General features: G+C 41.2%; 1 protein-coding gene and 1 long non-coding RNA gene across 53 annotated transcripts in view; one reads left to right on the forward strand and one right to left on the reverse strand.

Annotated features, from left to right (window-relative positions):
• The window catches only part of RGS6 (regulator of G protein signaling 6), a 762,695-nt gene that overhangs the window by 524,925 nt on the left and 222,840 nt on the right, over positions 1–14,930 (forward strand). The gene's annotated exons all lie outside the window — the stretch shown is intronic.
• Positions 1–14,930, reverse strand: part of LOC105370559 (uncharacterized) — a 36,836-nt gene that overhangs the window by 9,884 nt on the left and 12,022 nt on the right. For both annotated transcript variants that reach the window (XR_944018.3, XR_944019.3), the window contains one exon: positions 13,616–13,744. This is a non-coding gene — a long non-coding RNA (uncharacterized LOC105370559). The remainder of the gene's footprint in view (positions 1–13,615; positions 13,745–14,930) is intronic.

Raw genomic sequence — 14,930 nt, forward strand, 5'->3', positions numbered from 1 at the left:
AGGCTGTTGTCTTTACATCTGACCATGAGATGTTGGAGCTTGAAGTCCAAGAGGCAGGTGGTCAGCAGAGGAAGATGGATATGAAGTCGGGAGAGCAGGGATGGGCTGGGACCCACAGGCACACACAGAACCCATGAAGACCCACCGGAACTCAGGTCAGTTATCGCTGCCTCTCTGGGTGCTATAGTTGTCCTACAGGATATGCCGGCTCCCATCATCACAGACATACACACGCACCTGGCCCAAGAGTCACAGAAGCTGAAGGAAAATTCAGGGAAGGTAGAGCAGTTGTGACTTGGCTACTGCCCCACCCAGCAACATGAGCCACAGATAAAACAGGTGTGAGCTACAGAATGGCTGCCGCTTCCCTGCCTCCTCTGAATCTCACATGTAAGCATCTCTTGTGGCCCACTCTAACAAGAAACATTCAGGAAAGGAGATCTGGGGGAGGGGGAGCCTCTCCAAGCTGACACTTTGCAAGCCACCCAGTCTACAATGTGGAGAATGGTTGCAAAGCCTTCCACACTTCTTCCTGCCAATCCTCACCCTGGTCTCCAGGGTCAAGTGTGCACTTTCTGGGGATGCAGCCTCTCCACCCCACACACAAGTTGTACCGGGAAAAACTGAGATTTCCAGCAGGCAGAGATTGAGAAGCAGCAGCTAATAACATTACAAGGCCATTTGGCAGCAGCGCAAACCTTCACCATTACAATTAGAGCAAGTGGAGGTAAAAGAGACTCTCTTAATGGCCAAATCAAATAAAAAGTGACAGGCTTCTGAAGATTATGTTGAACCCTGTATGGCATGTTAATGAAACAAAGGGTCAGATACCATTTCATCTGTGGCTTATCTGCTTAGATAGAAGGGATGTTTTTCTGCCTAGTCCTACCTGAGGATTTCCAAGCCACCCCTATGCATGAAGATCTGACACATTTTTGTCCGCACTTTTCTCAGAGTGTTGGGGAACCAGGACTGAGCCAGCAGCGAAATATTCTGTGATGTAAGGTGGAATTTAGAATAAAGGTATTTTGGTGATCAAGCAGCTCAATGGTCCTTAACCTTGACTGTAACCTTGACTGAATCACATGCAAAGCTTTATAGCCTTTCTGATGTCCAAGCTGCCCAGAGATTTTTAGGGTGCACCCAAGGCATCACCAGTTAGTAACGCATCCCAGGTGATTCCAAGGTACAACCAGAGTCTAGAACCAGGGATCTAGTCTAATCCTTTTTTCAGATAATGAAGCTAAGTCATAGAGAAGTTAGGTGTGTTGGCCAGTAGTAAATACAAACAGTAGAACCCAAGTCTCCCAACTCTTAAACTTATCACCTTCCACTATATGCCCTGCCATATCTGCTATTGAGAAGAGTGAGAAACACACATTAAAACTGCATACTCTACTGTGTTCCAAGAATGGGATGACTTTGAAATGCATGCTATTTGTAGAATATAGGTAGTGAGACTGATGCCTGGTCATTCGCCTACAGCCTTAACACCTCCTGGAAGTCTGATTCTTTCAGTTTACCTTGCCCATAGTGTGAGACAGAGAAGGAAAATAGACGAGTCTCAGAATGCATTGTTCAGTGGAATGCATTTTGGAATGATCCTACAAATTACAGGAAAGCTTTAATCGCCAATAATTAGGTGTCTTAAAAATGGAGTTGTCTTCTGGCGTATGCTGACATTATCAGTCCAAGATAGACTTGAGCCAGGAGCCTCTGTGACAGTATGCTTTAGAAAGAGTGAGAGAGGGAGCATGTGTAAGCTAAGAAAACCTTTGTAAATAAGCAAAGTCTTATTCAACCTACAGTCTGTCCTCAGAGCTATCATTTATCAGGGGAACCCACCCCTGATAATTCAACATGAGTCCTTTTCTATTTTCCGTAAGCGTCGGCCGGTCTGAGAAACAAAGGGAAAGAGTACAAAGAGATAAATTTTTAAAGCTGGGTGTCCGGGGGAGACATCACATGTCGGCAGGTTCTGTGATGCCCCCTAAGCCACAAAACCAGCAGGTTTTTACTAGTGATTTTCAAAAGGGGAGGGAGTGTACAAATATGGTGTGGGTCACAGAGATCACATGCTTCACAAGGTAATAAAATATGACAAGGCAAATGGAGGTGGGGCGAGATCACAGGCCCGGGGCGAAATTAAAATTGCTAATGAAGTTTCAGGCACGCTTTGTCATTGATAACATCTTATCAACCGTAAAAGACAGACATTCCTAGAGCGGCCATTTTAGAGACCTCCCACTAAGAATGCACTCTCTTTCTCAGGGATGTTCCTTGCTGAGAAAAAGACTTCAGCAATATTTCTCCTATTTGCTCTTGAAAGAAGAGAAAGATGGCTCTGTTCCGCCTGGCTCTCAGGCTACCAGACCTAATGGTTATCTCCCTTGTTCCTTGAACATTGCTGTTATCCTGTTCTTTTTTCAAGGTGCCCAGATTTCCTATTGTTTAAACAATTTGTGCAGTTAACGCAATCATTACAGGGTCCTGAGGTGACATACATCCTCAGCTTACGAAGATGACAGGATTAAGAGATTAAAGTAAAGACAGGCGTAAGAAATCACAAGAATATTGATTGGGGAAGTGATAAGTGTCCATGAAATCTTCACAGTTTATGTTCAGAGATTGCAGTAAAGACAGGCATAAGAAATTATAAAAGTATTAATTTGGGGAACTAATTAGCGTCCATGAAATCTTCACAATTTATGTTCTGCCATGGCTTCAACCGGTCCCTCCGTTTGGGGTCCCTGACTTCCTGCAACAATAATTATTTATTTTAAAAGAAACAAAATCAAATTATTAGACATTTCAATCTGTGGTAGTAACATGATATTCTGGCATCTACTTTCATTATCACCTTTATTAAAATAAATTTAAAGAAAAATGGCAGTATGTTTCTGTGAAGACCACGAGTACTCATTTTAAAGGACTCAAGAGTTGCAGAAAAGTAAAAAGAAAAGAGTAAAATCATTTTCTAAATCTCACCTTCCAGAAATAACGATGTTGAGCATTAAGTGGACTTCATTTCATACTCTTTCAAAGATTATGTAGGCATATATATGTGTGTGTATATACATATATATGGATACATCCTTAGAGAAGTTGGCTGGCTAGATAGACACACTATAAAAATGGAATCATACTCTAATGCCATTTTTAATTTAAAAAATACATATTCAGATCCACTGTACTTATATACAGAAGTAAATGAAACTAAAGTAACACGAGAGGAATTCTGACCCTCATATAATTTTTTTTACTATCCAACATAATTATTTTTTTTATTATACTTTAAGTTTTAGGGTACATGTGCACAACATGCAGGTTTGTTACATATGTATACATGTGCCATGTTGGTGTGCTGCACCCATTAACTCGTCATTTAACATTAGGTATATCTCCTAATGCTATCCCTCCCCTTCCCCCCACCCCACAACAGGCCCCGGTGTGTGATGTTCCCCGTCCTGTGTCCATGTGTTCTCATTGTTCAATTCCCACCTATGAGTGAGAACATGTGGTGTTTGGTTTTTTTCCCTTGCGATAGTTTGCTGAGAATGATGGTTTCCAGCTTCATCCATGTCCCTACAAAGGACATGAACTCATCCTTTTTTATGGCTGCATAGTATTCCATGGTGTATATGTGCCACATTTTCTTAATCCAGTCTATCATTGTTGGACATTTGGCTTGGTTCCAAGTCTTTGCTATTGTGAATAGTGCCGCAATAAACATACGTGAGCATGTGTCTTTATGGCAGCATGATTTATAATCCTTTGGGTATATACCCAGTAATGGGATGGCTGGGTCAAATGATATTTCCAGTTCTAGATCCCTGAGGAATCGCCACACCAACTTCCACAATGGTTGAACTAGTTTACAGTCCCACCAACAGTGTAAAAGCATTCCTATTTCTCCACATCCTCTCCAGCACCTGTTGTTTCCTGACTTTTTAATGATTTTCATTCTAACTGGTGTGAGATGGATGGTATCTCATTGTGGTTTTGATTTGCATTTCTCTGATGGCCAGTGATGATGAGCATTTTTCCCATGTGTTTTTTGGCTGCATAAATGTCTTCTTTTGAGAAGTGTCTGTTCATATCCTTCACCCACTTTTTGATGGGGTTGTTTGTTTTTTTCCTGTAAATTTGTTGGAGTTCATTGTAGATTCTGGATATTAGCCCTAGCCCTTTGTCAGATGAGTAGGTTGCAAAAATTTTCTTCCATTCTGTAGGTTGCCTGTTCACTCTGATGGTGGTTTCTTTTGCTGTGCAGAAGCTCTTTAGTCTGATTAGATCCCATTTGTCAATTTTGGCTTTTGTTGCCATTGCTTTTGGTGTTTTAGACATGAAGTCCTTGCCCACGCCTATGTCCTGAATGGTATTGCCTAGGTTTTCTTGTAGGGTTTTTATGGTTTTAGGTCTAACATGTAAGTCTTTAATCCATCTTGAATTAATTTTTGTATAAGGTGTAAGGAAGGGATCCAGTTTCAGCTTTCTACATATGTCTAGCCAGTTTTCCCAACACCATTTATTAAATAGGGAATCCTTTCCCCATTTCTTCTTTTTGTCAGGTTTGTCAAAGATCAGATAGTTGTAGATGTGCGGCATTATTTCTAAGAGCTCTGTCCTTTTCCATTGGTCTATATCTCTGTTTTGGTACCAGTACCATGCTGTTTTGGTTACTGTGGCCTTGTAGTATAGTTAGAAGTCAGGTAGCATGATGCCTCCAGCTTTGTTCTTTTGGCTTAGGATTGACTTGGCAATGCGGGCTCTTTTTTTGGTTCCATATGAACCTTAAAGTAGTTTTTTCCAATTCTGTGAAGAAAGTCATTGGTAGCTTGATGGGGATGGCATTGAATCTATAAATTACCTTGGGCATAAATTACCTTGGCCATTTTCACGATATCGATTCTTCCTAGCCTTGAGCATGGAATGTTCTTCCATTTGTATCCTCTTTTATTTCATTTAGTAGTGGTTTGTAGTTCTCCTTGGAGAGGTCCTTCACATCCCTTGTAAGTTGGATTCCTAGGTATTTTATTCTCTTTGAAGCAATTGTGAATGGGAGTTCACTCATGATTTGGCTCTCTGTTTGTCTGTTATTGGTGTATAAGAATGCTTGTGATTTTTGCACATTGATTTTGTATCCTGAGACTTTGCTGAAGTTGCTTATCAGCTTAAGGAGATTTTGGGCTGAGACGATGGGGTTTTCTAGATATACAATCATGTCATCTGCAAACAGGGACAATTTGACTTCCTCTTTTCCTAATTGAATACCCTTTATTTCCTTCTCCTGCCTGATTGCCCTGGCCAGAACTTCCAACACTATGTTGAATAGGAGTGGTGAGAGAGGGCATCCCTGTCTTGTGCCCGTTTCCAAAGGGAATGCTTCCAGTTTTTGTCCATTCAGTATGATATTGGCTGTGGGTTTGTCATACATAGCTCTTATTATTTTGAGATACATCCCATCAATACCTAATTTATTGAGAGTTTTTTAGCATGAAGCGTTGTTGAATTTTGTCAAAGGCCTTTTCTACATCTTTTGAGATAATCATGTGGTTTTTGTCTTTGGTTCTGTTTATATGCTGGATTACGTTTATTGATTTTCGTATGTTGAACCAGCCTTGCATCCCAGGGATGAAGCCCACTTGATTATGGTGGATAAGCTTTTTGATGTGCTGCTGGATTCGGTTTGCCAGTATTTTACCGAGAATTTTTGCATCGGTGTTCATCAAGGATATTGGTCTAATATTCTCTTTTTATGTGGTGTCTCTGCCAGGCTTTGGTATCAGGATGACGCTGGCCTCATAAAATGAGTTAGGGAGGATTCCCTCTTTTTCTATTGATTGGAATAGTTTCAGAAGGAATGGTACCAGCTCCTCCTTGTACCTCTGGTAGAATTCGGCTGTGAATCCATCTGGTCCTGGACTTTTTTTGGTTGGTAAGCTATTAATTATTGCCTCAATTTGAGAGCCTGTTATTGGTCTATTCAGAGATTCAACTTCTTCCTGGTTTAGTCTTGGGAGAGTGTATGTGTTGAGGAATTTATCCATTTCTTCTTGATTTTCTAGTTTATTTGCATAGAGGTGTTTATAGTATTCTCTGATGGTAGTTTGTATTTCTGTGGGATCAGTGGTGATATCCCCTTTATCATTTTTTATTACATCTATTTGATTCTTCTCTCTTTTCTTCTTTATTAGTCTTGCTAGTGGTCTATCAATTTTGTTGATCTTTTCAAAAAACCAGCTCCTGGATTCATTGATTTTTTGAAGAGTTTTTTGTGTCTCTATTTCCTTCAGTTCTGTTCTGATCTTAGTCATTTCTTGCCTTCTGCTAGCTTTTGAATGTGTTTGCTCTTGCTTCTCTAGTTCTTTTAATTGTGATGTTAGGGTGTCAATTTTAGACCTTTCATGCTTTCTCTTGTGGGCATTTAGTGCTATAAATTTCCCTCTACACACTGCTTTGAATGTGTCCCAGAGATTCTGGTATGTTGTGTTTTTGTTCTTGTTGGTTTCAAAAAACATCTTTATTTCTCCCTTCATTTCGTTATGTACCCAGTAGCCATTCAGCAGCAGGTTGTTCAGTTTCCATGTAGTTGAGCGGTTTTGAGTGAATTTCTTAATCCTGAGTTCTAGTTTGATTGCACTGTGGTGTGAGAGACAGTTTGTTATAATTTCTATTCTTTTACATTTGCTGAGGAGTGCTTTACTTCCAACTATGTGGTCAATTTTGGAATAGGTGTGGTGTGGTGCTGAAAAGAATGTATATTCTGTTGATTTGGGGTGGAGAGTTCTGTAGATGTCTATTAGGTCCGCTTGGTGCAGACCTGAGTTCAATTCCTGGATATCCTTGTTAACTTTCTGTCTCGTTGATCTGTCTAATGTTGACAGTGGGGTGTTAAAGTCTCCCAAGTCTCTTTGTAGGTCACTAAGGGCTTGCTTTATGAATCTGGGTGCTCCTGTATTGGGTGCATATATATTTAGGATAGTTAGTTCTTCTTGTTGTATTGATCCCCTTTACCATTATGTAATGGCCTTCTTTGTCTCTTTTGATCTTTGTTGATTTAAAGTCTGTTTTATCTGAGACTAGGATTGCAACCCCTGCCTTTTTTTGTTTTCCATTTGCTTGGTAGATCTTCCTCCATCCCTTTATTTTGAGCCTATGTGTGTCTCTGCACGTGAGATGGGTTTCCTGAATACAGCACACTGCTGGGTCTTGACTCTATCCAATTTGCCAGTCTGTGTCTTTTAATTAGAGCATTTGGCCCATTTACATTTAAGGTTAGTATTGTTATGTGTGAATTTGATCCTGTCCTTATGATGTTAGCTGGTTATTTTGCTCGTTAGTTGATGCAGTTTCTTCCTAGCATCAATGGTCTTTACAATTTGGCATGTTTTTGCAGTGGCTGGTACCAGTTGTTCCTTTCCATGTTTAGTGCTTCCTTCAGGAGCTCTTTTAGGGCAGGCCTGGTGGTGACAAAATCTCTCAGCATTTGCTTGTCTGTAAAGTATTTTATTTCTCCTTCACTTATGAAGCTTAGTTTGAAATGAATGAAATGAAGCATGAAGAGAAGTTTAGAGAAAAAAGAATAAAAAGAAACAAACAAAGCCTCCAAGAAATATGGGACTATGTGTAAAGCCCAAATCTACATCTAATTGATGTACCTGAAAGTGACTGGGAGAATGGAACCAAGTTGGAAAACACTCTGCAGGATATTATCCAAGAGAACTTCCCCAATCTAGCAAGGCAGGCCAACATTCAAATTCAGGCAATACAGAGAATGCCACAAAGATACTCCTCAAGAAGAGCAACTCCAAGACACATCATTGTCTGATTCACCGAAGTTGAAATGAAGGAAAAAATGTTAAGGCAGCCAGAGAGAAAGGTCGGGTTACCCACAAAGGGAAGCCCATCAGACTAACAGCTGATCTCTTGGCAGAAACTCTCTAAGCCAGAAGAGAGTGGGGGCCAATATTCAACATTCTTAAAGAAAAGAATTTTCAACATACTGATTTTTTACAGATGCCTTATCAAAAGAGATTATGAAAGCTATTGGAATTGTAATACTTTTATTAATTAATGGTTCACTTTTATATAGTATCAGTGAACTTCGAGCAATGAAAGAAGATGATTTTAATGCTTCCTTCATTTCTCTATCACCCACCTCCTGATTTTTATAGATCATTATCATTCATTCATTCAACCAGTGTTTATTTAGAGAATACTTTGTGTAAGGCACCTTCAAGGTGCTGAGCCTAGAGCTATAAGCTATCGATGGAACAGACAAGATTCTCACACATAATGGGGCTTGCATTTTAATAGAAAGAAAAAATAAATCACTATTTTGACATTGCGCTGATTCTGTTCAGTAACCATAAGCCTCATAATTGTTCAGTATTGTTTCTATATTTGAATTCTTTCTATGCATATACATAAGTAGAAGTCTGGCAGACTAGAGAGATAGCCAGACTCACTTTTATAAAAATGGGATGATACTATAAATTCACTTCCGTCGCTGACAGCCCATCCTCCACCTACCTTCTTATCTCTGATCCTCCCTAGCAGCCCTATCCAGGTTTCCCTGGTTAGAAGGAGAAGCTCGGTCTTTTCCAGATTCACAGGGAAAGGTTCCCAAGCAGGAGGAGTGAGGAGGAGCCAGGTGGCAGGGCCAGGCCAGGCCAAGCCTTTCTCCACTGCTTCTCTGCAGAATTTCCTTGGCTGCTGGTTTTGGAAGTGTGTGACATTAGGTTATGTCCATTTCCTTGGTTGGTGGCTGCTGATAAAAATTTTGACTGGTTTCACTATTTTGATGCTATAATTCTTCATTTTTTTTTAGGCATTGCTAAGTTAGATAAATCTTATGTTCAGTCTTTTCTATCTTATCTTTACCCCAAGTCTACCTCCTTAAAATACTTTTATGAGCACAAATCCCTGATGTAAAATCAAGCCATAATGTGTTTCCTGGAGTAGGGGCGGACAAATATGTTAACTAAATTCTTTTTGCGTGCTTCATGTTGGATCAATTCTTAAGGAATAATTTTGACTGAGCCTCTTTTAAGCTTTTCCAGGCCTGGCTTGTTTTCCTGAAAAGCTTCAAAGCAGAGAGGAGAATCTTTGTCAGTTAGCTGGGTGAGTGGTTCACAAGCCTCACTGTTGTGACACACTCCGTCATTTGTGAGGGCATCACAGCCATTTTGTTAATAGAAATACAGAGCCAAAAGTCAAACATGATTTTATATGTGTGAGATGTTGCCCGAGGGAAAGGGCAAAGAATGAGAAGAGCTGGACTGGGCAACTCTCATGTGACCCCAGGTCCCTTTCAAAGTTGAGTTTCTCTAGCAAGTTTGGGATTTCCAAATGTTTCTACTGAGAAAAAAAAAAAAAGGAAACGTGCAATTAAATTAGAAAACTACACAGCTCTTACTGAAGAGCTGAAATTTTAAAAAGATGCTTAAAATAAAGCAAGGAAGATAAGGAGAAAGAAACATAAAGCATCCAAACCTGAAAGAATAACATTCAGATAGGCTAACACTCAGAAAAGATTGGAGTCTTGCCAAACATCCTGAGGTCAGCCGCCACCACAGCAAAAAGACTGTTTGATTTGGAGTGACAAGAAAGATGATGTGATCTCAGAGGAAACAGATGGCTCACTAAAGATATTTGAGGATATTTTAATAAAAAGAAGATTTTAAAAGGTGTGAGTAGGATACAGGGAAAGTGACAAAAGATGGAGCAAGTTGGAACCTGATGGGAGTAATCTGGGGGGAAGGAACCCATAGCAGAAGTGGTGGCTCTCAATGGTGGAGCCCAGCCAATCCGTGGGATCGGGCAGGAAGGGAGCTGACCCACTGTCTGCTCCACGACCTCCTGGTGCTGCCTCCCCTTGGCTGAACCCAGCCAGAAGGCAAAGAGAGACCCATTGGTCCATTCCGTCCAAGATCTCTCTCAGGGCTCAGAGCAGCGTACAGAAAGGTAGTGTTTCTGGAGGAACAAATAGAAGATATCCAGCAGTAAGGGCAAGGAGGCACAGAAGTACTTCCTGCTTCAAGGGGTTGAGTGGCTATGGTAGTTGATGTTGAGAAGGCAGATGAAGTAAAAGCAACTTCGCATATATCTTTCCTATCAAAGACAATGGTCTAACTGGAAAGAAAACAATAAACAGGGTTGTGACTAAAAACTGGGCAAATGATCTAAACAGACATTTCTCAAAAGTAAACATACAAATGGCCAAGAGGTATATGAAAAAAATGTTCAACATCACCATCATCAGGGAAATGCAAATAAAAACCACAGTGAGATATTATCTCACCCCAGTTAGAACGGCTATGATCAAAAAGACAAAAAATAACAAATGCTGACAAGGATGCAAAAAAAACCCACTTATACTGTGTTGGTAGGAACGTAAGTTAGTACAGCCACTATGGAGAATAGTATGGCGGTTCCTCCAAAAAACTAAAATAGAACTACCATACAACCCAGCAATCCTACTACTAGGTTTCTGTATTGTTTTGTTTTATATTTTTTGTTTTTTTGGTTTTTTTTTTTTTTTTTTTTTTTTGAGAAGGAGTCTTGCTCTGTTGCCTAGTCTAGAGTGCAATGGCATGATCTTGGCTCACTGCAACCTCCATCTCCTGGGTTCAAGTGATTCTCCTGCCTCAACCTCCCCAGTAGCTGGGATTACAGGTGTGTGCCACCACACCCAGCTAATCTTTTTAGTTGAGATGGGGTTTCGCCATGTTAGCCAGGCTGGTCTTGAACCCCTGATCTCAAGTCATCTGCCCACTTTGGCCTCCCAAAGTGCTAGGATTACAGATAAGAGCTACCATGCCCAGCCCCATTACTAGGCATTTATCCAAAGGAAAGGAAACCAGCATATCAGAGGAATACCTGCACCCCATGTTTATCACAGCACTATTCACAATCGCTAAGATATTGAATCAACCTAAGTGTCCATCGACAGATGAATGGATAAAGAAAGTGTGGTATATTTATACAATGGAATACTATTCAGCCATTTAAAAATAAAACTCTGTCATTCATGGCAACATGGATGAGCCTGGAGGACATTACGTTAAGTGAAGTAACCCAGGCACAGAAAGACAAATACCATATGATCTCATTCACATACAGAAGCTGAAAAACAGTTGATCTCATAGAAGTAGAGAGTACAATTGTAGTTATTAGAAACTGAGAAGGGTAGGAGGGGAGGAGATGGAGAGGTTGGTTCAAGGTTACAAAATTATAGCCAGATCAGAGGAATATGTTCTAGTGTTCTATAGCACTGTTGGGTGACTACAGTTAAAAATTTTTGTATATTTTCAAATAGCTAGAATAGAAGATTTTGAATGTTCCCAACGTAAAGAATTGAAAACTCTTTGAGGTGATGGATGTGTTAATTACCGTGATTTATCATTACACATTGTATCTATCAAAATACCACTCTATACCCTATAAAGATGTATAATTATTATGTTCAATTAAAAATAATGTAAGGAATAAACAATATTGAAAGCAAAAGAAAAAATCCCAAAGTGGTCAAAGCAATAAGCCAATACTTAACTCCTTTAAGCCCATCTGCAGGCCTAAATGAATCTTACCTGAGAGTGCTGAAAGAAAATTATGTTTAATTTCCAGAAAGGGTCAAAAGAGTACATTATTGAACCTGTAATAAAGTTACTGAAATTAAAAGGAATGTTAAAGATCTCAGGTTTCTTGATTTCAGGAAGCTATTTGATGGAGCCTTTCAAAGTTTGGTTGGTAATGAATATGCTGGAGAAACACCGGCCATACAAGAAGGTTTCCCTGACCTGGGATGGACAGTCATGCACAGTGTTTACTAGTGTTGCTCGCATGGCATGAGGAGGAAAGGGCACAGGACCCTTCTTTTTGACCCACTCCTATTCAAGTTTCTATGAAGGTCTTGAATGAAGATAGGAGGTGTAGGTCAAAGTCGTGGTTATGACTGTTTCAAAGTCAGAAAGGAGAATCGGTTCTGTGGATCTTACAAGCTCCTTTAAGATGCCTCAGGCTATGAAGCTGTGGGAGAGCTGGAAATTCTGGATGGATGGGATAATATTTCCTGAAGCTTGAGGGAAGGTGTTTGCTGAAGTTTGTCCAATGTGCTCTGTATGAAGCCAGAACCCAATGTCCCATCTGCCTTGTTCCAGCACTGCCTCGGATTCCAGATCCTGAGAACCACCCTTTACCCCAGGGAAACCCCTGATGCCACCTTCTCTGCTGCCAACCATTATGTGGTGTGAGCTGTCCCCAGGTTGCAAGTCTCTGCCAGCAGCCCTGCATGCTTCAAGACTCTCTGTGTGGCCCCACAGGGCAAGCACAACAAAGAGGTCAAATGACAGAATTTCAAAAGATTTCAACTGATGAACCAAATTAAAGGACATGTTAGGTATTGGAATTTTCCAATTTACAGAGCTAGTTTGTCCTAGCATTGGCCAGAATGAAGGCTGAAAGAGTGGCAGGGCTGCCACCATGGTTACTGCAGCAGGTGGAATTCGAGTGCCTGAATTGAGGGAAGTGGGGGTCCTCCTGCATCCCGAGATAGCGAGAGCACCTCAGAAGTGCTGGCTTAGGTGGTGGCACCCACTGTAAGAGAACGATGACAAATCTCAGTTTCTCCCTAGGAGAGTGCCCAGCAGGGTGATGAGCCAGGAAGATCTGTCAGGATGAAGAGTAGTGAGAGGAAGGGGGAACCCTGGAGAAGAGAAGAACTTAAAGGGATTCACAAGAAGTTGAGGAGGGCAGAGCTGAATGAGACAAGGTTGCAGGGAAACAGACTTTTTAAGATCAGTGTAAGGGAAAAAAAAATCCTTGACAATCAGAATTGTTTCAAAACAGAGTCAGCAGCTTCTTGAGACTGGGTCGCTGTGCTAAGAACGTAAAGGGGGAGCTGGGTGGCACCAGCAAAGTGGCAGGAATGTGTCCCTGCAGGGTCTTTGCTGCCTTCCGAATCCTCTCCTTTGTGATCCTGTAATTTGTGAGAGAGCCTGGAGGGTAGCATGGAAAAGAGAGAGGAGAGGACCTGACAGCAGTATTTCCATCTTGTCCCCTAACAATTGCCTAGGCAGTCTCCTCTCAGCAGGGAAGCAAACTGGTCACCAAATAATAATAATTATCCCCCTACATTTCCTTAATTATTTAAACTTCTGAAAGGACATCAAACACAGCAAAGAGTCAATGACTTGCTTTCAGAAGTGATTCAGACTGTAGCTCCACCCATAACAGTGTCACCTTGAGCAGTCACATATGCCTTAACATCCTTCTTTCTAAAGCAATTCCATCTTCCCAGGTTGATTGTTGAGCGTTTAGACATGATGACATATATAATCTTTATATATGTATATTTACAAGTATATGTTTATGGATAAATTTTGACTGCCTGTAACCCATGTGGCCTTGTGTCATCACACATAAGTTCACTGAAGCTCCCAACAACCAGACTTTTGGGGAAGTACAAACCTCCACATTAGCACTAGGTCTCCTTGCCTGCCCCTCTGCTGGAAGAATCCCTGGCAGGGGCCTTCTTTGGTGATGGGATTGAATTTTCTATTTCCTGAAATGTAATCAGCTTTCAGTTTCAATGGTGGTCACCCCCTTGTACCTTCTTTTAAAGATTGGAACGCTGTATTGGTTTCTCAGGGCTGCTGTGGTCTTCATAGAAGATGACCCGCGTATTTCCAAGGTTTCCTCCAGGATTGCTGGGGCTGTCTGCGTCCAGATGTTAAGGTTACTGTAGACAATAAATGGGAGAGGGTGAAGGAAGGAGGATGTTTAGAGAAAATTATCCAGTCACCTGGAGGAAAGGCTCTTAGCTGCAAAAGAGGAAATAAGGGCCAGGCACAGTGGCTCATGCCTGTAATCCCAGCACTTTGGGAGGCCGAGGCAGGCAGATCATGAGGTCAGGAGATCAAGACCATCCTGGCCAACATAGTGAAACCCATCTCTACTAAAAATACAAAAATCAGCCGGGCGCAGTGGCACACGCCTGTAGTCCCAGCTACTTGGGAGGCTGAGGCAGGAGAATTGCTTGAACCCGGGAGGCAGAGGTTGCAGTGAGATGAGATCGTGCCACTGCACTGCAGCCTGGTGACAGAGTGAGACTCCATCTCAAAAAAAAAAATAAGAAACTGCTATTTAGCACAACATCAAATAAGCAGTTTGTTGCTTATGTCTGAACACTTCTGTGAAAACAGGCAAAGGCAGTCGTGTGTAGGTTCTGGTGACCAGGAACTGGAGCTGCACAGAGGTGTAGAGGCTCCCAAAGCTCGTCAATTGTTTATGAAGGGAGTAAAGGCTGGAAGTCAGGGGGTGGGTGTCAGTTTCTGCCACTAGCTACCAGATTTCTCCTAAAGATGGGAAAGCTCCCTTTATAGAGCTGGAGTGCAATTTTGTGTTTTCTTTGTGTTTGGCAATGTCTGTTACTGACTTGCAATAGATATGCAACAGTATAGGTATGTTCATCTTAGTATTTTGGGGACAAAACTCCCAAACCAGCCACCACACAAATGTATTTATAGGTACCAGTAGGCACCTTTGGACTCGGAGGGAAGTCAGCCTCCTTAAAGCCGTATTCAGTAAGGAGAATGAAGGGTAGGCATGGCTGCAGCTTGGGTTGTGCCCACCATGTGGATATCCAGCCATGATCTCAATAGTCAGGTTGGTCCACATTGTCCAGATATCTCCATGTAACATTAACTCAGACTTTATGAAAATAACCGGTGAGAATAACCAAAGCCACATTGGGTAATGAAAACTGTATGTACAATTTTCTTTAGTTACATTGATGTTGTTACATACTGTTCATAATTAATTACATTGGTTTGTAATGTATCATGTCCTATTGTATTGTAGGTTCTAATACCAAGACCCTAGGTGTTCCTCTCTTAAAAGCTGGTGACCACCTTTAACTCATGTGG

This window comes from Homo sapiens, chromosome 14 (genome assembly GCF_000001405.40).
Source record: "Homo sapiens chromosome 14, GRCh38.p14 Primary Assembly".
Classification (NCBI taxonomy): Eukaryota; Metazoa; Chordata; class Mammalia; order Primates; family Hominidae; genus Homo; species Homo sapiens.